This window comes from Homo sapiens, chromosome 5 (genome assembly GCF_000001405.40).
Source record: "Homo sapiens chromosome 5, GRCh38.p14 Primary Assembly".
Lineage (NCBI taxonomy): Eukaryota > Metazoa > Chordata > Mammalia > Primates > Hominidae > Homo > Homo sapiens.
In genome coordinates this window covers 7589514-7614577 of record NC_000005.10, presented here as the reverse complement: position 1 = coordinate 7614577, position 25064 = coordinate 7589514, and the positions used below count along the sequence as shown (strand labels likewise).

The following is a 25064-nucleotide window of genomic DNA, read 5'->3' as shown; positions in this document are numbered from 1 at the left end:
ACCCCAAGTTCAATACCTCAACCTTGTGCAAAATCACAGCTAACAAAACCAAAGGTGGACTTTTGGGCTGATAAGATTCTGTCTCCAGGAATTAGGTTTGAGTCTTAGAGGTTGAGGGCACCAAGATGAAGACCATGTAAACTGGCAGTTGAAGCTACCATTTTGGGAATTCTGTAATGAAATTTTATACAGACAGAAAGGTGAACCAAGAAGCTGGTTTTGGGGAAAGGAAGGACAGGGCAGATGTACACAGAGGCAGAGATGGGCCACTCAGAGGGGATAGAGAGATGGAGGTTCTTAGTCGTAGGAGGGCTGACCAAACTTTAAAAAAATGGGATGTGAGATATTTCAACATAACCCCCTTTCACAAATTTACTCAAACAATTTTGTTTTCTGTTCATTGTGATCTGGGGTCTCTGTTGACACTCATGAGATGCATGAAGCTCATCTTGTGTCAACTTAGAATTAGGTTTGATGACTATGGATAACATTAAGTAAATTAAAGATGCATTATTGATTGCTCAAACTGGTCAAATTTAGAGTTATATTAATTCTTCAAAGCCTGTCCTCCCAGTGCTCTCTGGGTTACCTCCTTGAGTTCTCTTCTGTCTACACATAACTTTAACGTAAAGCCTGCTCTTCAAAGAGGCATATTCTTTTGTACAGTAAATAATATGACTGGTTTTTGTCTTTTATTTCTTGGAAGAAGATTAAATCCTTGGGCTATCCTGAGTAATAGGAATGGTTTTGTTATTGGTGAGCCTCTTGGATTATACCTGAGTTTATCCTACAAGATAAGATGAGGCTCAGGATGGCTGGTCATCTGCACGAACAATTGTGTGATTAGAGAAGCAAGGCTTTGAGCCACATAGCATAAACCTAACCTCTGGGGAAGGGAGCTGGAAAGTGAGTTCAATCACATAGATGATGATTCAGTCAGTCACGCCTATGAGATGAAACGCCAAGAAAAACTTTGCACACCAAAGCTCAGTGGTTGATGAACACACTGATGTGCCAGGGGAGGTCATGGAAATTGGAATTTGTAGTCAGTTGGTTAGAAATGCAGGTGACCTGGGGACCCCACCCCCCACCGCCAATCATGGCTGGCATCTGAGGGACAGCCTGGTGGAATTCTGAGCCCTTAACTTTTGGGGTCTCCCCTAATGCGGGATGGTTAGTGCCACCAGCTGGTGTCAGAATATCTTCCTTTCATGAGGTGTCATTCATTAGGTGATAACTGCCCCTATACTAGAAGCTCCGGTGATAGGACACACCATATCAGCCTGCATTTCTGTAGTTGAGCTATTTGTGCCTTCTCCATCTCTGGTTTCCTGGGATTCCTAGGGCTTCTCCAGTGTGCCTGTCTCAGAGCTCAGCTTATGAGTTAACAGCTCTTGTGTGCAATCTTTTTTTTTTTATTATTATACTTTAAGTTTTAGGGTACATGTGTACAATGTGCAGGTTTGTTACATATGTATACATGTGCCATGTTGGTGTGCTGCACCCATTAACTCATCATTTACATTAGGTATATATATATTTTTTTGAGTCAGAGTCTCACTCTGTCGCCCAGGCTGGAGGGCTGGAGGACTGGAGTGCAGTGGTGCAATCTCAGCTCACTGCAAGCTCCGCCTCCCGGGTTCACGCCATTCTCCTACCTCAGCCTCCCAAGTAGCTGGGGCTACAGGCGCCCGCCACCACACCTGGCTAATTCTTTGTATTTTCAGTAGAGACGGGGTTTCACCGTGTTAGCCATGATGGTCTCGATCTCCTGACCTTGTGATCCGCCAGCCTCGGCCTCCCAAAGTGCTGGGATTACAGGCGTGAGCCACCAAGCCCGGCCTCGTGTGCAGTCTTATCCAGCAGTTGCCCTTGGGTGACTGGAGCTATCTCTTAGTTTTAACCACTCTCCTTCTCACCCTTCACTCCCATCTTCCCTACCCCCTCCCGGAGCAGCCAACGACTCCTGTCATCAGCCATTCCCTCATATAGTCAATGACTGACAAATACAGCAGCATTCCTGCTTCAGGGTAGAATAAACTCCAGTGCTCCCCATGAGATCAGACTGTGGCAAGGCCTCACCCCAAACCATCACTCTCATTTGCTCAGCTTCCTCCTTCCCTATCCTGCCCACCTCACCATGGTTCAGGGTTTGTGCTAGGCCCCGCCTCAATTTATCCCTATCTCAGGGCCTGCTTCTGGGAAGCCCAAACAAAGACACCCTGTATCTGCATTGCATAAAAGCCAAAAAGCCACATATTTGACTATTTTGTCATTTCATTGAAGTGCAAAAAGACTTGTCTTTCTTGAGGAAATAACATGAGGTTTCCTATTTATAGTGCATGATGTTCTAAATACCTAATTAGGTGACTTCTAAATGGGAAATGATTCCTTTTTATAGGATCTAGGTCCTTTTTTTTCTTGCTGGTATCCAACTGTGAGAAATTCAGAATCAGTTCTAAGAATAAAAAAAATGGAAACTATTATGTTTTAGGGAAAAAGAAAACGTTCGATTAAGAGCTCTGTGTATTGCCAACAACTCTTTTCAGTTGAATTTTCTTTTCTGGAATAAGATGTCTCATGCACCCCTTATTACTCTGAGACTTTTACCATGTCATCAGGCACTGGATAGTACAAGAAAAAATTTCTGCCACATTAATTTGAGTCTAGGTCCAACTTCTAGAATCATCTCATTGTTGTGCCTAGATGAGCTTTGGATTACTTGCCTAACAAAACCGTTGTGATTTATAAAAAATTACACACTTATGCTTACTGGGCACACTTCTCTTAGGAAGCATGACAGTGTTTTCCATATGGTGGGCTTCACACACACTTTTTCAGCTTATAAAGAAAGTAAGAGATAAACCCCCAACCCTCATTTGGAACTGTCATGGTCAAAATAAACTCTCCACTGTTCCCAAGTCTAAATGCATTTCTGGGATGAATTAACATGCTTCCTGATGGTGTGAAGAGGTATTACAAGCCAGAAATAAAATAGAAATCCATCCAAGCCTACTAGAATTTTGAAGAATGAGTATAAAATGTTAAAAATATTCATTTCCATTTTTTCCAGTGGATATATTATATAATAAACCTGCCACTAAAAAATCAAGCATAAAACAATTAGATGTTTAACAATCAAGACTAAAACTATTAGTCCAGAGGTACCAATTTTTTAAGGACCTTAATAAAGAGTGGGCACACTAGGTAAAAACTAATGAAGTTTTTTTGGTATCATATATAAAATGAACTTTAACAAATCAGAATGATATTTATCTTCTCATTATTTAACTACTTTTCTCATTATTTAACTACTTGAGAAACATTTAATATATTTCTTATGATTTAATAAGGCTATGTCACATATAAAATTAAACAAAAGCAGCAAAAGAGTTTACCTACAGTTTAAAGGAGAGAGAGTGTCCTCATAACTCATCTTTATACTGGAAAGAGGAGAGATACAGAATGCAGAGCTTCCCATGGTCAGGTGGCCCTAAAAGTTGTTTTCCTAACAGAAACATTTAAATTCTGTGCTTGCTACAAGGAATAGTTTTCACACCTCAAGGATTTCTATAGCAATCACTGCAGTGAAAGATGCTGATGAGAAAAAAAACCATGCCTGGCATCAGAATCACTTGGGAGTAGAACCGAAATGAAGAAAAGCAGTTTGATTTTAGATTATGCATTTTAAAATTCCTTTATTTAGATCAAATTTGACAACCAAATTCCATAATTTGCAAGAAAAGCACTTTTTAACTCCACTTCAATGCATAAGAAAACCACACAGGCCTGGACCATCACTCTATCAATTGTCTCCAGGCAACAGGGAGTCTAAGCCACCGTGCTAACTCACTCCTGACTGCTTAATGCTATGGCATCCATCTCTCCCTCTTTGAATCATTCCCAACAGCCAGTGAGCCTACTCCTTAGCTAACAACACCCTTCCTTAACACACACATCCTTCCATCTTCTCCATTTCTCATTTCCCTTTACAGCTGAGCCTCTAAGACTTGTCTACTTAAGCTCTTTCTATTTCTTGATCCCTGTCTCTCCTGAATCCATTTCATGTAGCAACCCAAGGCACCACCGAAACTACTCTAGGCAAGAATATCAGTTACCTTCAAGTTTGCCAAACCCAATGTCTCCTTCCTACTCTCTCCTGACCTCACTCCTGAGTGGCTCTCTCAGCAGCAGCTGGGCCCTTTCTCCTATGGAGAATCCCAGCCTGCCTCAGCTGCCCTGGCATCATGCACCCTGGAGTCAGCCCATCTCACTGAATCCATTGCCTTAATTCAAATGTTGGCAATCTCCAGGGCACTGCCCAGGTCTACTTCTCTTTAAATTCCCCCAAGTTCTCCCTTGCAGCATCATCCATATACCTAACTTCTTCAACACCATCGAAATAACACCAATGCCCAAAGATATACCTCTAGCCTACATCTTTCTTCTGAGGACTAGACACAGAAAAGTAGGCCTCTCCAATTTAATATGTTTCTTATGAAAGTATCCTACCCTAAATTCTTTATACAACCCACCCCTGTCTGCATCTCCACATTCCATTCATGCCCTGTCTCAGCTCCACTCTAGGCATGAAGCCCTCCTCTGGGTTGCTCCAACTTGGCCAGGCTCAAGCCCTTGCACACATACTTTTCTCTGCCTGGCAATCTCATGCCTGGCTCTCTCCCTGTGTGGAACTCCTTCTGCTCATTCCTGGCTTGTATGTCAGGGGCTCCCTGGGCACACTCTCTTAATGCCTTCCTGCTATTCTCCAGGACGGCTTCCTCATATGTCTCCAATATCACTGGAGTAATACTCCCTGATACTTCTCCAACATCAGTAGAGTAATACTCCCTGATACTTCCCCAACATCATTTGCCAAAAGTAAATGTTTTGCATTTCTCCATCTGCTTATTGTCTGTCTTTCATGTTCTGCTCTATGTTCCTTGAGGGTCAAGATCCCACCTGTTTTATATTCCCCTATATATAGATTGGGTAATCCATATAGAACTTATTGGGACATGTACTGATAAGTATTTATTAAATGGATAAATAAAATCCCACATACACCTATGATTCAGTACATAAGAATTGGAAATATCCTAATTCATGTATTGAACAAAAATACATTCTTTCATTCAACAAATATTATTGACAGCCTCTTATGTGCCCCAAACTGCTCAAAGTGTAGAGACTGTAATTTTAAGAAAACTTTTTAAAAAGGTCAAAGCCCTGCCCTTATGGGCTTATATTAAAATGTGAGTTTTTGCCCTAAATCAATTCAATCTACTTTTCCGCCTCTCCTATTTAGTGAGAAAACTTTGTAGTTGCTTCATAAGATATTATCCCTGAATATCAGGGTTATGCCTTGATATATACCTGCCATCCCTTCAGTAAATCCATGCAAATTATACTCAGAAGAGACATGAAGAATTTGGACCTGAACTTATCTTATCAGAGTTAAACTGGAACCATGAAGCTATGTTTTGTCACCTGAAAGGGAATGAAACCTTCCCAGACTGGCCAGATTTGAGTCTGATCTGTTGGGTAAACTAAAACATCTAAAGAAAGAATATGTGCATAAAAAAGGGGAAGTGGGTGGTGAAGATTTCAATTATGGAAACATGGAGAAAGGCCTGTCTCTTGGGGGGAAAAATGGCACTGTCTAGAGGAGAAGGTATCCTGTCAGCAGACTTCAGTACCTGGCCCATATGGCTGGCTCACCCCTCTAGCAGAAATGCATACTTTAGGCTTTCAGAGTTTGATGTCTTAAACTATGCATTCTCAACAGAGGTCATAGCACCCCAAGAGGGAAACAATAGTTCTTGGGGAGGGCAAAAATGCACACATCACATAAACAGATACGCAATATACCTGTGGCATTAGATTTTCATGAGGGGCCAGGTAGGAATAAAAATATCTAAAGAGTTTCCTTAGGAGGGAGTCTAATAGAAAAAGATCTAGAAATACTGCTTTAAGCATTTATCTTTAATTTTTATTTTTTTGAGACAGAGTCTCGCTGTGTTGCCCAGGCTGGAGGGGAGTGGTGTGATCTCAGCTCACTGCAACCTCCTCCTCCTGGGTTCAAGCAATTCTCATGCCTCAATCTCCCAAGTAGCTAGGATTACAGACATGCACCACCACGCCCGGCTAACTTTTGTATTTTTAGTAGAGACAAAGTTTCCCTGTGTTTCCCAGGCTGATCTCTTGAGCTCAAGCAATCTGCCCGCCTTGGCCTCCCAAAGTGCTGGGATTACAGGTGTGAGCCACCACACCCAGCCTGTTTTAAGCATTTAAATCAGCCCTCCAACTGTGTTATTTCCCTGCTCACAGGTGATCTTTGGATAAGGTGGTTTCTTACTATAGAGACAATTTAAGAGGTAGTTTCATAAACTGTCTGGTCTATCGGATAGTCATATTCCTCATGATAAATTAACAAATTAGCATTCTGAGTTTAATTAATTAGCATTCTTTTGTGCCTGTAATTAATTAATTCTTTTTTGCCTGCTAAGTAGTTAAAACTAATCAGCATCCCAAGTCTGATAAAGGATGGATTACTCCTAGGATCATACTTCAGAGCTCTCAAGGCTGAAGGCCACTCCTTCAGAAGAGTGACCTCTCCCAAGAGGATGGATGCTACCTGTGTTGACAGGTCTCCCCAGGAGACACATCTTTGGTGTGATTACATCATTCACCAAATTTAATACCAATTTATTTATGACTCCACTAGCCACAGATTCAAATATGGCCTTCTTAGTTTATGTATCTTTCTCATTTGGTAATATACAAGTTACAGCCAATTCTGCACACAAAGTTCACCAATGCTTACAACTATAATGAATCAAATAAAAACATCACCATCATATATAAATGCAAATTTCATTTATAAACTATGCTCTGGTTAGGGAAACAAAGACTTGTAATATTTTAAATCATGTCATTGATTGTAAGTGTCATGCAAATACGTATTCTGATTTGTTGTTAGCAATTGGAAAGGCGAAATAAAGCTCCACCAAGGTGCTTTACTCGTGAGAGCTCATGGGTCCTCAGGGGTGCAGCAGGCTGTGCAGTGGAATCACTTGGCACTTGCAAAAGATGCACACGGGCCTGGAGCCCACTCCGGAGTGTCAGTGGGTTATTACTTTTTAAAACATAAATCTCCCCAAGTGAATATGTTGTGCACTACCAACAGAGAAACTGATGTCAGATAAGAAGCAGATGACTAAACGTGAATTCTTCCAGATCCAGAACAAAGAAACAGTTCAGGTGGAGGGAAGAACTGAGAATGTGATAATGAATGAATAATGGCTGATGCTAATGAGCATGAGCTTCCTCCACAGGAATGCTAAAAATGTGAGACCTGGTGTAATTTTTTAAACCAAAAGAAAGTCATCCTTCCACTACATCAGGAGGGCTGCTGTACTGAATAGGAAAGAGAGATGAGCAACTCAGTTAAGAGAACCAGAAAGTAAACTCAGATGAAGCTGAGGTGGTGTGGGACAAAAAGGGAGGGAAGCGAAGGCAGAACAGGATCAAAGGGCTCACAGAAAGACAGCTGAGGCCCAAGCTCAGGTGCCCTGCATGTGCAGGGCAGGTGGAATTTCAGAAGACCCGCAGCAACAGGTGAACTAAGAACAGGGGTGGGAATGGGATGGAAGACAGTATGGACATAACATGACATCAAAGATTATACTCTTGGGAGGATAGATTTTCCTGTAACTTCTAAAGGAATATTTAAAAAAAACACTCTTTTGGAATTATAGCATTTATACATATAATGTATGTATACCTTTCATTCCGAAAGCAAATAGCAAATATTCCATAGCTTCGGTGATAAACGAAAAATAACAAGCATCAAGTGAGAACTAGTTAAATGAGTGTTCTGATGTGACATATCATTCTCTTGTTCCTTTGTTTGCTGAGTATGATAGCATTTGGTTTAGCAAATCTGATAAAGTTTGGATTAATGAGGGGATCACACTTCAGAGCCTGCAAGAATGTGCCCGGGTAGAGCCTTCAGTAATAATAAATGTTGCATTTAAATGATCATGGACCAAATTTAGATTTAAATGTAAAATAATCTCTTCCATAATGTTTGCATAAATTAAATTTTGCATTAATAGTTAATGCAGATAAAATATCCACATAATTAGTTGTGTTTTTCCAGGCTTCCCCTTCATTTTTACCTCCACATCACCATTGGACATAAGCCCAAACAGGAACACTGTCACTCAGTCAGAATTTTCTCTCCCTTTAAAAAAAATTTTTCCATATCCAAACCTGGGCCACATTTATTTTTCTAATTTCCAATCCAATTTTTGAAGTACATTTTTATCGAAGTAAAACATATGAACAGAAAAGTACATATATCTTAAGTGTCTGGCTTGATAAATCTTTAAGTGAATAAATCCACGTAAACAACACCCAGATCAAGAAAGAGAGCATTACCATATACGCAAATCAATAAATGTAATCCAGCATATAAACAGAGCCAAAGACAAAAACCACATGATTATCTCAATAGATGCAGAAAAAGCCTTTGACAAAATTCAACAACCCTTCATGCTAAAAACTCTCAATAAATTAGGTATTGATGGGACGTATTTCAAAATAATAAGAGCTATCTATGACAAACCCACAGCCAATATCATACTGAATGGGCAAAAACTGGAAGCATTCCCTTTGAAAACCGGCACAAGACAGGGATGCCCTCTCTCACCGCTCCTATTCAACATAGTGTTGGAAGTTCTGGCCAGGGCAATCAGGCAGGAGAAGGAAATAAAGGGTATTCAATTAGGAAAAGAGGAAGTCAAATGTTTGCAGACGACATGATTGTTTATCTAGAAAACCCCATCGTCTCAGCCCAAAATCTCCTTAAGCTGATAAGCAACTTCAGCAAAGTCTCAGGATACAAAATCAATGTACAAAAATCACAAGCATTCTTATACACCAACAACAGACAAACAGAGAGCCAAATCATGGGTGAACTCCCATTCACAATTGCTTCAAAGAGAATAAAATACCTAGGAATCCAACTTACAAGGGATGTGAAGGACCTCTTCAAGGAGAACTACAAACCACTGCTCAAGGAAATAAAAGAGGATACAAACAAATGGAAGAACATTCCATGCTCATGGGTAGGAAGAATCAATATCGTGAAAATGGCCATACTGCCCAAGGTAATTTACAGATTCAATGCCATCCCCATCAAGCTACCAATGACTTTCTTCACAGAATTGGAAAAAACTACTTTAAAGTTCATATGGAACCAAAAAAGAGCCCGCATCACCAAGTCAATCCTAAGCCAAAAGAACAAAGCTGGAGGCATCACACTACCTGACTTCAAACTATACTACAAGGCTACAGTAACCAAAACAGCATGGTACTGGTACCAAAACAGAGATATAGATCAATGGAACAGAACAGAGCCCTCAGAAATAATGCCGCATATCTACAACTATCTGATCTTTGACAAACCTGAGAAAAACAAGCAATGGGGAAAGGATTCCCTATTTAATAAATGGTGCTGGGAAAACTGGCTAGCCATATGTAGAAAGCTGAAACTGGATCCCTTCCTTACACCTTATACAAAAATCAATTCAAGATGGATTAAAGATTTAAACGTTAAACCTAAAACCATAAAAACCCTAGAAGAAAACCTAGGCATTACCATTCAGGACATAGGCGTGGGCAAGGACTTCATGTCCAAAACACCAAAAGCAATGGCAACAAAAGCCAAAATTGACAAATGGGATCTAATTAAACTAAAGAGCTTCTGCACAGCAAAAGAAACTACCATCAGAGTGAACAGGCAACCTACAACATGGGAGAAAATTTTCGCAACCTACTCATCTGACAAAGGGCTAATATCCAGAATCTACAATGAACTCAAACAAATTTACAAGAAAAAAACAAACAACCCCATCAAAAAGTGGGCGAAGGACATGAACAGACACTTCTCAAAAGAAGACATTTATGCAGCCAAAAAACACATGAAGAAATGCTCATCATCACTGGCCATCAGAGAAATGCAAATCAAAACCACTATGAGATATTATCTCACACCAGTTAGAATGGCAATCATTAAAAAGTCAGGAAACAACAGGTGCTGGAGAGGATGCGGAGAAATAGGAACACTTTTACACTGTTGGTGGGACTGTAAACTAGTTCAACCATTGTGGAAGTCAGTGTGGCGATTCCTCAGGGATCTAGAACTAGAAATACCATTTGACCCAGCCATCCCATTACTGGGTATATACCCAAATGAGTATAAATCATGCTGCTATAAAGACACATGCACACCTATGTTTATTGCGGCACTATTCACAATAGCAAAGACTTGGAACCAACCCAAATGTCCAACAATGATAGACTGGATTAAGAAAATGTGGCACATATACACCATGGAATACTATGCAGCCATAAAAAATGATGAGTTCATATCCTTTGTAGGGACATGGATGAAATTGGAAACCATCATTCTCAGTAAACTATCGCAAGAACAAAAAACCAAACACCGCATATTCTCACTCATAGGTGGGAATTGAACAATGAGATCACATGGACACAGGAAGGGAAATATCACACTCTGGGGACTGTGGTGGGGTCGGGGGAGGGGGGAGGGATAGCATTGGGAGATATACCTAATGCTAGATGACACATTAGTGGGTGCAGCGCACCAGCATGGCACATGTATACATATGTAACTAACCTGCACAATGTGCACATGTACCCTAAAACTTAGAGTATAATAAAAAAAAAAAAACAAAAGAAAAAAAAAAAAAAAAAAAAAAAAAGAAAGAGAGCATTACCCCAGAATTTTCTCCTGCTTGAAAGCAGATGCCATACTGGAACCTTCACTGGCCCTAACGACGGTGTCTTCTTCTACACACTCCAGTAACACCAGTTATTAGAACATCTGTGGGTATGCTCCTACATATGGTGAGTTTCCCGTCTAAAGAACACCCTTCCTCAGGCTCAACAGTAGCTTCAAAATGGCTGCATGGGCACTCTCCGTCCAAGGAGGTGGTTACACCACCACATTCTAAGCAGCATTCACCTATATATTTCAAGGGAAAAAAATTCTGCAGCCACGTGATTTATCAACCTGGGAGTTAATTATTGCTTACTACATCAACAGCTGTTCTTAACAATTCTGGCATTCGAGGAGATGCCAGTAAGAGGTGGGGCAGTGAGGACATGTGAACACCAGCACAACCTGGGTGGCAGAAGCCCTGTAGGGGCTCTGGCAACACAGTCGGGAAACACTGCTGATCAGCTCTTCAAGACCTTTCCCACCCCTTCTACCTGGCTACCTCCCACTACAGACGCTGAACATCCACACATTGGCTTTCCCAGGCTCTCCTGTGACTGGAAAGGGTGATGGAACAAGATGTGAATGAAGTCAGCCTCAGGAAGGAACGGCCTCTGTGGTAAGTAGCTTTTAATGTCCTAATAAAAAGGAGCAGATACTGTTCGTGGGACACTTCTACTTTGCTACTTATTCTGCTTGCCTTGAATGTAGATGAAATGGCTGGATCTGCAGCAGCCTCCTTAAGAGGGTGACAGCAAAGCCAATGGGCTCCTCCAGACATGAGTCCTGATTTTATTAATTGGCCAGACCAAAGCCAGCAGCCCCCATGTCTGGACTTCCTTTTATGTGAAGCAAATAAATTCCCATTTGTTTAATCCTCTGTAGTCTGGTTTTCTGTTTATTGGAGCCAAATATAAGGCTGACTCATATATTTGGAACAGCCCAATTGAGTCAGTAAACACAGCCTTGCCTATGCTGTAGGATACGCTTCTGTTAACATGGAGTTTGCTCAGTGAGTTTGGTGTGAAGCAAATGAATAAATTGAGACCACCTACAAAAGCTATGTATGTGGCATACCTTAAATAAACTGGCAAACTAGTCAGAGAAGGAATTCAGACCAACCTGAGAAAAGTTAGCTGTTTTATGAAGGCAATAATGCCAAGAGAAATTTAAGAGGGAATTTCTCTTGGCAAGAGAATTTAAGGGTGAATGGAGCATTGTGTGGAACCAACTAGAGGAGACTTCTTGTAGGTAGAACTTGGGCAAAATGTTGAAAGGTAAGAGTGAGGCTGCCCTGTGCATGAAGGTCTGCAAGCTGAGAAGAGGCAAATCCAGCTGAAATGGGAAAGACATCCTGGAGTGTACCTGGTGGAACATTCAAGAAAGAGCCATAGAAATAGAAGACACATTCTTTCCCTCAGGGAGCTATTATATGGTTAAGAGAGTTATGTATCACCAAAGGAGGAAATCGAAGCAGATTTTACTCAATTGCCATTCTTTGATTGTAGTGGTTTGAATGGTGACTCCCTTCTTCCACCAAAAATTATGTCCACTTGGAACCTGTGAATGTGACCTTACTTGGAAAAAATTGTACCTTTGCAAATGTAACTAAGTTTATGATTTTGAGATAAGATCATCATAGGTTAGAGTGGACCCAAAATCCAATGACAAATGTCCTTCTAAGAAGAGAAAACACAGTGCAGAAGGCCATGTGAAGATACAGACAGAGGTTGCAGTGATGCAGCCACAAGTCACAGACCACCCAGCATCACCAGAAGCTGGAAGAGAGAAGGGAAGATCCTCCCGTAGAGCCTCCAGAGGGAACATGGCCCTGCTGACACCCTGATTTTGGACTTCTGGGTTTTGGAACTATGACAGAGCAAATGTCACGTTGTAAGTCACCAAGTTTGTAGTAATGTATTACAGCAGCCCTAGGGAATGAATACTCTGATGCACACAGCATGCATCACTGCTGAGGGAGCAGGAGGGAAATGCAGGAAGGCATGACACCTAAGGAAGGATGGGAAGGAGAGAATGGGGTGCTTGGAACAGAGTGAAGAGAAGAATGAAGGGTCTGGAAGGAACATGATGACAGACCTGAGGTTTCTGTGTTGGATAATGGTGTGGGTTGTCTCATTCATTAAATGAGTGATTTTCCTTTAGCAGAAGGCCATATTGTTTAAGAAGTTTCTTATTCTCTTTAAGGCAAACTGAGCTTGCCTCTTGGGGCTTAGTTCCATGCAGTTTCAATATGAACATGGCTTGAAGGTGAGAGTTTGGAATAGGTGAACTTCTAGAGTCTGTACAAAAGTTACCGTCCTACCTAAATCTTAGTGCCAGATATTTCAAATGTCCCTTTAACTGACTTTTGCCCTGTACAGAGGCCTGAGGTATATGCAAGTGTGATGGAGTTGGCTGTTCCTGAATTTCCTCCACAGTTTTTTTTTCTTTTTAATTCATCACGATATTTGTTTAAAATTGAGCTATTAATAACTTAATATTAAATTGGCCTCAAAAACTACTGTCAAAAGAAAAACCTGGATCAGGTGGTGAGGGACAATGAGGGAACTCTGGCCTTGAGTCTTGGGCAAAGGCTTTGACCACGTGGCTCCGTCCTTCACCCTGGGAAAGACGGGACTGAGTCAGTCATCCTGAATTCCAATTCCAACATCATCCACTGAAGGCTTTGAGACTGGTCTAGAGGCCTCTATGGTACCAGCTTCCAAGAGATTTTAAAGGATTTCAAAATTCATGAACATAATCCACCCAAAAATTCTTGAAAATTTGTAACACCAGTGACCTTCATCCCAATTGCCAAGGCCATAATTCTGAACTTTCTGATTACATGAACCTATTCTCAGAAATCTCCAATTCCTTATCATCCATTCTGCCTTTCCAGCCTCCTATGGCCTGGCTTCACTCTAAACTTCACAGTGACCTAGCTCCCCAGACCCTGCCATTTTCTGCTAATCTATCAGCCTATTTAATGGGAACTCACCACAGATGGTCTGAATTTACCCACCAGACCCCTGGTGACCACCTGCACTGTGCCCAGCCAGTCATGAATCACTGATGGATGCCATTATCTTATCCATTCTTCTGCTCAAAGCACAATTCCAGAGGATTCCCCATGGATGTTGAGACTGAGCCACTCCAGCCTCATGGTCTCCAATCTCAGCATGCTTTCAGCACCACCAGCAAGTCACTAAGTACAGCCTTCCTCTCACTTTCGTCTCCCTCTGAGACCATCTCAGACCCTCTCCAGTCTCCCCTGTCTCAGCCCTTGCCTTTGTGCCTTGAGACAGTTGTGCTTTCTACTTCTAGAAGACTGAGGCCATCCTTTAGTTCCTCAAGGTTTTGCCAATGGCTCCAATTACATTTGTAGCCATGTCCATACCAGTTTCTCCAGTCCACTGTGCCCTCCTGTTCAAGGACAACCTCTCCACCTTGACCCAACACCCTTCCCAGAAACTTCCTCTGGAGCCTCACTACAGCTCCATCCCTTCCCTCTCTCCCATTGATTTGGCCACTGAGGGGGATGCTTGCATTTCTCCAGATTCCACTCCATGCCTTCCCTCTTTATCTCTATCAAGTTTCTTGAAAGAGAAGTCAGTTCCAGTTTCAGGTGTGCACCATATTTCCTCAGGGAAGCTTTGCAGAACCCTGAAGTCCATCCCACATAGAACCCAGTGAGTCAGCATCCCAGGACCCAGCACAGGAACCTGCTTTCAACAAACTGCCTGGGTGCTCCTTGTGTTGCCCACCTGCTGATAATGTGGTCTATGCTCCTTCCTCCCTTTCCACCCTTTAACTCACTGCCCACCGGGATTCCTTTATATGCACGATGAAGTCAATGACAACCTTTCCAATTGCCAAATCCCAGGAGCATTTTTAAGCCTTTATATACATTGTTCCTGTGTTTCTTGGAGACTTTTGACATTTCTAATTCCTTCCTCCTATTTGGCGACCTCTTTCCATACTGCACTTTGAGATCTTCTTTCACTGATGATTCCTTGCGACTCTTCTGCTCCTCTAGCTCCACACACCTTGAAACCCTCTAGGATCGTGCCTTTACTCTCACAAGATCTCATCTAAGTGACTGTGTTGGCTCCCATGGTTGATACAATCCCCCACAGTGTAATGTCCTCCAAATCTGTGTCTCCAGCCCAGACCCCCTTCCTTCCATAATTCAGATGATCAATCACAGCCAGCTGCCTGCTATCTACCTGGTGGCCTCACGCACATTCTAGAATATGGACAAAAGGAATTCCCCATCTTCCTTCCCTAAAATTATCCTGCCTCCATTCTCTCTATGCATTTGGTGTCTCCTCCCACTACCCAATCACTGAAACTAGCAACAGGACATTCCTCCTTGACCTATCCTTTTCCCACACCACTCATCAACAGTCAGTAAGCTCTCAGTTTTGTTCACAAAATATCCCTTAAATCTGTGTCCTCCCCTTTTCATTCCTGCTTCTCCTACTCTATTTCTCAATCAACTCTGGATTCTCACAAAAAAACTCGTACTGCCCCTGGGCTGTCCCTACTCAAATCTATCTGTCCTTGGGCTGTCCCTGTACAAATCCATCTGCCCCGGGCTATCCCTGCACAAATCCAGCTGCTCCTGGGCTGTCCCTGTACAAATCCATCTGTCCCCGGGGGCTGTCCCTGCACAAATCTACCTGCCCCTTGGCTGTCCCTACACAAATCCATCTGTCAGAAGTCACCAAAATGCAGCAAATGAGCGCAAGACCACCTGCCTCAGTCAGGACATGTGGGGCAATGCTGTGGCAATGAGCAGCTCCCAGATCTCAGCATCTTCACACAAAAAATGTCCACGTCTCCTTCAACTCTGAAGTCCACCATGGATTCCAACAGAGGGTGGGGAGAGCTCTGCTTAATGAAGGCACCTGGGAGACCCAGGCTGACATGGGCTTCATCTCAATGCAGGTGTCCACAATCACTGTCAGAGGGGAGACGATGCAGTGGCTCTTTCGGGAGGTGTCACACATCACTGCTGCTCACGTTTCACTGGAAATCAAGTCACCTGAGCGCAACGGGGCTGGGAAGCACAATCCTATCGTGTGTCCACTGGAAACAACTCACACCCCCAGCACCCACACCTAGCAGCCCTCTGCCTCGAATTCTCCAGCAATTCTCCACTGCCTTCAGGTCAGGGCCTCCAACTACCCTATGTATAATGAAGACCAAGGATGTGTGTTTAGAATACAAAATTCCAGAACCCCCCACAGAAAATTCTGATCTGTTTGAGATATAGTACAAAAATGTGCATTGCAATTAACCTCCAAGGGGATTATGTTACTGGTAGCCCATGAGCCATACTTTAAGAACTACAAGGTCAAGTACAGTAGTGAACTTCTTAAAATAGTATAGGATGTCCTTGATGGTGGGACTCAGGCTTTCTCTAGAAGTCCATATTTAGGCTCACCCCTACCCTGCAGCCACCTTGCTTCTGAGGTGAGGTTACCCACGAGTCTGGCCTCGAGGCTTTGCCCTCCTCCTTGCTCCCACTCCCACCTTTCCCTTTCTCTAACGTTTGGCCACTACGGAAGTGACTGTAGGACTCAGCACAGGAGGCACTAAAAGACGAAAGCTTTTTAGCTCCCAGTCCAGCCCAAGCTGCAAAAGGTGGCCTCTCTCATGCACTCCACCACACCATGCGTATCTTGTATTTCAGTTGACCACTAATAATTATGTACATTTATGTGTTCTATGTAGTGTTTGATCTATGTATACGTTGTGCTGGGCATGTTCCAGGGCCTGGCTGGGGGCTGGATTGCCCACTGGAGAGGAAAGCTCCTTCAGTAGAATTTGCCAGTAAGACATTGCAAGGATTTTTCCACCCCCAAGCACAGGGCAAGGTACACAGGTGTTCTATGAATTATCAAGGGGTGAGTGGGTGAGAACGAATGAATGAATGTCTATTCCAGCTCTACGCTACTACTGCTTTTTGTTTGTTTTTGAGGCAGGGTCTCAGTCTGTCACCCAGGCTGGAGTACAGTGGTGCAATCATGCAATCATGGCTCACTGCAGCCTCAACATCCCAGGCTCAAGTAATCCTCCCACCTCAGCCTCCCGAGTAGCTGGGACTATAGGTACAGGCTACCATGCCCTGCTAAATTTTAAAGTTTTTTTATACAGATGGGTTTTTGTCATGTTGCTCAGGCTCATCTTGCACTCCTGGGCTTAAGTGATCCACCCACCTTGGCCTCCCAAAGTTCTGGGATTACAGGCGTGAGCCACTGCGCCTGGCCACTACTGCATTCTTTACCCTGCCTATTCTACTGCTCCTGAAGGGAAGCATCGTGGATGGCAGGGTTAAACCCTGTAAGCAGCAGGAGCCTAGAAGCATCTCACTGCAGCTCAACCTTCTGCTCCCTGGAGAGGGGGCCTCTGGACCCAGCTGGGCGCAGCCTGAGGTGCCCAACTTCTCAAAGAGGTCTCTGTGCAGCTTCTGCCTGCACTGGCTAGAACGTTTGCTTTGAATCCAGCCCAAACCGCAGCCCTGGCCTCACCCTGGCCCTGCTGCCATTCCTTCTCCTGCCTTCAGGCATAAGCCAGAAATAGCAGCTGGCAGAGCAAAGAAGGAGCAAGTAAAAGCCTAATATTGTTTCCTTGCCCTTCAGACAGCTAAAAAAAAGACCAAGATAAATAGAAATTTCTGGATTTTGCTCCCTGGATACCTGCAACCTGAGACAAATCTTTTGGGTTCTTACAGGAGCTCAAAAAGTGGCTCATGGAGCTGTACTTCCTCATTCACTAGTTTTCCTGGACTCCCTTTCTTACTTGTAGAAATATGTTTAACTTGGCTGTATCATTTATATGTAGCCCTTCTTAATTCCTGTTTGAAGTGAAATGAGGACTAAATTTTTTAAAACAACGACTACTCTAATTTACTGATTCAGTATAGGCCCCAACCTTGAGATTACATTGTCTGTGGCATCTAATTCCATGAGTACTAGTTAATAACAATACTAAAATAATTACAATAACAATAGTAGCAACAGCAACAACACAGGTGGGGTAGATGCAGCTTTTACTGAGTGCCAGGCACTGTTTCCAGCGCTGTATATTTATTCATTCACTTAACGGGTTTAACTCCCACCTTAAAGATGAAGATGTGAGGAAAAAGGTGTGAGGTGACCTCCCCGGGGATCTCCAGGGAACTGCACAGCCTGACTCCAGAGCTCCCAGCTCAGCCACCCACTCACTTGCCTCAGATGAGGGAATTACACTCTTAATTTTTAGAAATTTTGTTGTCATTTTAGGTATTTCGTTATTGTTCACATTTTCTCAACTCACTAGAAGACAACTCCTTTGACAAACTAATCACTCAAGTAATTGGATCACTCCATTGTAAATAACAACTGTATTGTTAGTGAGGAAACGGTGGAGATACTTATTCGTGTGGACCTGGAGTTTCGTATTGCCTTGGGTTCTGATACCCCAGAGCTAACTGGTGGGGGGGGGGAGTTTTTGGATCGGGCATTTGGGTATCATCAAAAAGTATCCATTGGCAAGGCTGTTATCATTTTGTGTGTCTAGTTATCCATTTGAGAAATGAACATTAAAAAATTATTTTGTACCTGCAAGAGGAACTATGATAGACAGCTTACCCACTATGGAAGACTGGAAGAGACAGAAAATAAATAAATTCCTCAGTATATATTTAATATAATCCTATAATTTAATATAATCCTAAGAAAGGATTATATTAAACTAGCATCACCATATAAAATTTCTCATATGTCTATATAATTTGCTACTATAGTCAGCCCTCCATATCCATGGGTTCCACATCTGTGGATTCAACCAACTGCAGATCAAAAATATTTCTTAAAAGATGTATGTTGAGTGTGTACTTAATATGTACAGACTTTTTCTTGTCATAATTCCCTAAACAATAGAGTATGCCAACTATTTACATGGCATTTACATTGTATTCGATATTATAAGCAGCCTAGAGGTGATTTAATGTATCCAAGAGGATGTGCACAGGCTGTATGCAAAAATTACACCATTTTATATCAGAGACTTCAGCAACACAGATTTGGGTATCTGTGAGGTGGGGGGTCTGGTAACAAATCTCCTTTGGCTACTAAGAGATGATTATATTTACAAATTAAGTCACTTGTAATGTAGAGACATCAGAGCTTAGGAGATGTCAAACACTCCTAAGTTTTGAACATTAGAGGGGAATTTCTCTCTCCGACAAGAAGATATGTGAGATAAAAGAAAATAACAGGATGGTTGTTCCTTGAAGGTTCATGCTATGTTTTTAAAAATAAAGCCAGGAACTAATATCATTTCATGTATATTTGGAAAAAATAGATTTAAATGCTCCAAAATAGTTTGAAGGCTTAAACATTAACACAACAAAGGTTTACAGGTAATGACTCATTAAAATATTAATACAGTATATAAGTATTAAAATAAATGCTCCAAAATTAGCAATGGCCAATAAGGAATGTGCTATTTAATTTTAAGAAAAGCGAAGCTAGTATTGACTCATTCTTTAATAGTAACTCTATTGTTTTTAAATTTATTCCTACTTTATTTCAAAGAACTTGCACTGGGGTGTGATCAGGTGTTTGGGTACCTGTTGCAACGTGGTCATTATAAGGGAATAATTATAATTAGCTAATGAACAAAACCACTATCCCTTTGTAAACCACTTTGCCTTGAAGGACAAAGAAAACAGATTAAAAGGGGAAGGGAAGGCAAACCAATTTAGAATGATATACCAATATGTCAAATAATTGGCTTAGAGAAGCATGAACAGATAGCATTTAAAAGCAGGCTCTGGACTCTGTCCTTTGAAGCTGCCCTTGAGGCTCCGTTCTTCCTTAGACATAATCTTTCTTCCTGCTATGAAATAAGGTTCATGATGTTAGTCTAAGAGGCTAACGGGGCCAGCTCTTTACATAAGAGCTTTGGATATTTTTCTTCCATAATTTTATATCCTTTCTTTTGGATGAATGTTTCCCAAATATAGAAAATCCTACCCACCTGGTGACGTTTTATTTATTTGGTCATTTGTTCATCAAACATTTTATTGAGGACAAGACAGACAAGTCCCCTGCTCTCATCAAGATTTATGTTTTGGTTGGGGACAATAACAACAAATGCATAAACTCATTAATTAAGTCAATAACTAATTAAAGACTGCAATGTGCAAGGAAGGTGCTGTGGAGAGGGTCACACAAGAGTTCCTGGCTACTTACAAACTGGGACATTTCAGCAAAATACTGTTTATTGTTTCAAAAGCTAGAAAACATCTGGAGCTTTCTCTCGAATGGTATTTGAGCTTCTCAACTTCCTTTACTTTCAAAGGTTGACCTGGTACACATCTGCCCAACATCCCCCAAACCTTGGGGTCCTATGAGCTGCCTCTGGCTCTCTCTCATTCTCCACATCAGATTAGTTGGTGTATTTAGATATTTCAATGTGTGTGGCTCACATACTGAATACCTCCTACCACTTCCATCACTAATGCCCAGGTCCAAGCCACCATCACCTCTCGTCTGGATTTGCAGTGGCCTCTAAACTGCCCTTGAGGCCCTGTCCTTGTCTCCACCTGTCTCATCTCGGCACTGTAACCAGTGCCAGATTGGATGAAAGTCAGACCATGTCATTCTTTTACTCATAATTCTTCTCAAATCAACCCAGAGCAAAAGTCAGCGCCTTTAACACACTTCCCAAGCTATTTGTGGTCCACCCACGTCCACCTCTCCAATCTCAGGGCTGGCTTGCTTTTTCTTGTACTGTACACTGGTTTTCTTGCACTTTGTACCTAGAGTTCTCTTAACCCAAGTATCTGCATCCTTCAGTTCTCAGCTCAAATGACACTTTTACATCTCCTCTCTCCAGCTCTGTATAGCGTTTCCTGCTTTACTTTTCTTCTTACAGAAGTGTGACACTCTGTCATGTTATTTTTTTTTTCACGTTTGTCTATTGTCTCATCTTCCCCCAATTAGAATGTGTCATGAGAACAGAGTTTTTATCATTTGTATGTATAGCTTTCCCCAACATCTTGAAAAAGGACCTGGGGGCATTTAGCTAATCTATGTTGAATGGATATTTTTGAATGGATATGTATCTGTTTGGGTCAGTATTCCATAACAAGGACAGTCCCAGTCTCTTCTTTTTGAGTGAGTTTTAGCAGATTTTGGCTATTTTTTTTTTCTCATCCTATCCTTTCCTTCTTTCTCCTACGCTCCATCCCTGTTGGTAACAAAGTCCTGTGTGACATTACAGGAGGAGAGAAATGAATACGCTCATGGGGTTGGCAGAGGAAGATCCCAGACTCCACGCCTTTTCTGTTTGCATGCGAACGGCCTTGGCCAGGATCAAGCCAACAACCTCTTTAATTAAAACTCCTGCAAGACAAGTTCACTTTCTTGTCACATGTCCTGTTCATGAGCTAGTTTCACACTTTACACTGAAATAATATAGAGGTACTTTTGTGCGTGGGTTGTGTGTGGGTGTCTTTGGTGCTCTATATAATTAAAGTAGGATTTTCTCCATTGCCTAGTCCCAGATGAAGCCCAGAATTTTTGTTCAAATTTACTTCATTCTAAAACTTCACTCCTTCAAGGTTTTCCTCGATTTGCGCTCATCCCCCAGAGGGCGCTGGGCAGCTGCTTCCACAGCTCTCCCTCCTGCTATTGGTCCCCAAACCTATGTGCATTTTATCTCTCAGATATACAAGGTTTGGTGCCAAAAATATCTACCTATAAAACGTGAGTAACATAAAACCTCAAGCTATGCATTCTATCACATACAACATGGTAAATCGCACAATCCCAGGAGGAATTCTCTTTTTCCTTAAGTTTTGTCTTCTGAAGGAAATAAGTCATCCTTCATTACTATTTAATAGAGGTGCTGTAGTGGGCTGGGGGGTGCTTCATGTTCTACACAGTTAAAGGAGGGTTTTCTTCATTGCCTGGTACAAGATGAAGCCCAGTTTTTGTTCAAATTTAATTTATTCCAAAACTTCTCTCCTTCAGAATTTTCCTCTGTTTATGTTTATTGACAGGGTAACAGTTAACTGATGATTGTTTTGGCATCAATACCAACCTTGATTTCACAGTATGTTATCATTACACGGAAGGAAGGTCTTCCTTACTATTTTACTTATCTTATAGTTTTCTTATATATTCTCAAGACTTTTTATTTTTTGTAAATTTTACCATTTTTTTTTCCAGTTCCCCTAGTACAATAGGTAGGAAAGAATGGGCACTGCTGGGCATTACGTCTTCCCACTGGGAGTCTCCATTGCCATGTCTCCAGATTTTATTTTCTTTCAATCGAATTATATTTTATTTGCCTATAGGTGCTGAAACATTCTATTTTAATCTATTCCTCATTTAGTTCACCCATCATTATTAATAACAAAGTTTTTTTACTATAGAATCTTTTTTTATTCATCCAACGATATCAGCTTCCATCTGAAAGAAAACATTTCTAGAGTCTGTTTTCATAATATTTAAAAATGAATTCCAGATGAATTATATTTGAATTAAAAAGCAAAAATACACTAATAACTATTTAGGCGACCCTCTTTGTAATATTGGCAATGGGAGATACTTTTCTAAACAAGACTGAAACCTAAAGGCAATAAGAAGAAAGAGCCATATGTGCATACCGCATGTTTAAATTGAGTAGTGAATGCCACTGTAAACAAAGGCAAAAGAAAAATGGCAAGCTTGGATAAATATACTTGTGACACATATTAAAAGTAAAAGTTAAACATTCCTATTAAATATGTAACTTCTACAAATTGAAAAGGAAAACAATGCTATGGATAAGAAGATTGAAAAATTTACTTCAAAGACAAGGAAATCCAAATGGCCAGTAAATGTGTAAACAGAAACCCAGTCTCACCAGCAGCCAGGAAAATGCAAATAAATTAAAATGAAACACCATTTTTACTAGTCCTTGGCAAAAACTCAGAGGCATAATATCCAATGACTTCTAACCTAGGTGTGTTTGATTCTATGCGTGGATTGCCTTCCTGGGTTTTTGCCCAGAGCTGGAACATCTGGCTCTCCTGGTTTGAGGGCTCATGGCTGAGATGTGGTGCCCCACTTCTTCCCTCTAACTCTCTAGCCCTAGAGAGAGTATTATAGGAAGGATGGAGACTTATACAGTTGCTGTATAACCATCGACATGATCAAAATGAGTATTTTTAGTACTTTGAGGTAGACAGATAAGAGACATTAAATATTAGACCTAGTTTGAAAATGATCAAATTAAAATAAAAGGCCTCAGAAGACTCATTCATGGTAAGTAGCCCATGGATGGGAGGTGCCAACTTAAGTTTCCCGACTGTATGTTCACATCACCTGTCCTGTTCATGTGCAGAATCATAAATGTGATCATTACTTTCTTAAACTTTCTGATAGAACCTATGCTGAAAGGGTGGTGTTATACAAAAATTGCAAGAGTATCATCTTAGGAGTAGTAAGTTACAAACAAGTTTCATTGCATAAAAAGCCAAAAAAACAAAGTTCTGTCTCTGAGTTTTCTGACATAGGTATACCAACTCACAAATATTTTACTTCCCCTTAAAAAATGTAAACTGCACGCTTTAGATAGTGATCAACTGAATTATGTATAATTCCATAAACTATTCTAATTAAATAACGTCACCAGTAATCACGTGAGCAATTTCAAAAGCTAAAAACAAAATCATTCCAAAATTTGCCTACTATAATTTTGAAGATGTGTATGAAATCATGATAAAACTGAATTACCTTTAAAATATAAGAATCCATGGATTTGAAAAGCAACCACTTTTTCCATTTGAATATTATTTATTTTTCTAATGTTAAAATATTTCAAAAACCAATTACAGAAATAAATAATAAGAGTCTTGACTATATTAATGGTTAAGATAAATTAATACCAAACTTTTTAAATGCCTAGAAGCAAAAACATACTGGACCCTTTTCTCTATATATTACACATAACCACATTTACATTATGGATTCCTGTGGGCTGACTTTGTCCACACCATAATGTTCATTACTTTTGGTATTATTATGAAACTATGGTATGGTCTTGTCAAATAATTTTGTGTAATATTTCACCTTTTCTGATGACAGAAAACCAGGCAACACACTTAAACTATTAAGGTATCTACAGAGAGAAAAGTCTTGCTTTTTTTTTTTTAACATGGTCACAAGTGAACCACTTATTTTTTCCCCTAAATCCAAACAAGCACAAAAGTCTTGATATTTAAATATGGTTTTGGATAAAGAGAACATAAGGATCCTAGAATGACTTACATGATTATAAAACTATTTTTAAAAACAGAATTTTAAAAAGAATAGCCAACATTTAAATGTAATCTAATTTCGCAGCAGTATGTCTCCAATTTATTCTGTTCTCTGTTACATCTGTCAAGAAAAGCTTCTATCATTATCTGAGTAAATGAAATTAGATGGCAAAACTAAAAGATTTACAATATCAATTAATAATCCCCATATTCTATGCTTTTTTGCAAGAGTCCCAAATTTAGCTTTCTTATACCTCTCTTTACCTTATTACTCCTTTTCATCCTTTGCACTTAGTTGAAGTGCGGTGACTCCCCAAGTGACTCATTTCATTTTATCTCATTTCCAATAGCTCCTGTCGGCTTTGATTTTGGTTTTAGCAGACGGAGCCTAAATCCTTGCTTGGCCATGGGATTTGGGTTTCTCCAGCAGCCAGACGTACCAGTGTTGGCCACACGGTTGTGAGCCACCTGTGGCTAACACCTAAATAGACAGGTAAGGATGAAGCAGTTCATGACCAAGAGGCCTTTTGGAATCAGCTGTGAAAGGACCCATTTAACATTGCATAACCCAGGCTTTACTTCATTGGATGGCTTTAATATATCTGGGAGAGGAAAAAGGGGATTTAGTAGTGTTTCCTCTGGATGCACAAATAATGAAAAGTGCTGTGAGCTCCCGAGTGCTGTATCATTGGTTACCCCCAACAGCCCATCTCTGTGCCCTGGAGGAGCAAGAGGGAAACCCTTCACAGATGCTTGAAATTTGGTGGACAAACAGGAGGAACACTCAGGAAAACAGGAGCAGAATTTAGGGCCCAGAGAGAGTCCCTTTTAGACTTAGAAATGTCTTCCTTACTACAAAATTAGATATTCACCAATATGTATTTTCTTTCTTTTCTCTCCTTCCTTCCTTCCTCCTTCCCTCCCTCCTTTCTTTCTTTCTCTTTCTTTTCT

The 25064-nt window shown here is 41.0% G+C and overlaps 1 protein-coding gene across 5 annotated transcripts in view, besides 2 other annotated features; it reads right to left on the bottom strand.

Moving 5' to 3' along the window:
* Positions 1-25064, bottom strand: part of ADCY2 (adenylate cyclase 2) — a 433944-nt gene that overhangs the window by 215504 nt on the left and 193376 nt on the right. The gene's annotated exons all lie outside the window — the stretch shown is intronic.
* Positions 16728-17242: an enhancer, noted in NCBI's record as "H3K27ac-H3K4me1 hESC enhancer chr5:7597449-7597963 (GRCh37/hg19 assembly coordinates)". NCBI's record gives its function as "activates a minimal SCP1, AML or CMV promoter by ChIP-STARR-seq in primed H9 embryonic stem cells {active_cell/tissue: H9 hESC(primed)}" and the evidence as "EXISTENCE:reporter gene assay evidence [ECO:0000049][PMID:30033119]".
* Positions 17243-17757: an enhancer, noted in NCBI's record as "H3K27ac-H3K4me1 hESC enhancer chr5:7596934-7597448 (GRCh37/hg19 assembly coordinates)". NCBI's record gives its function as "activates a minimal SCP1, AML or CMV promoter by ChIP-STARR-seq in primed H9 embryonic stem cells {active_cell/tissue: H9 hESC(primed)}" and the evidence as "EXISTENCE:reporter gene assay evidence [ECO:0000049][PMID:30033119]".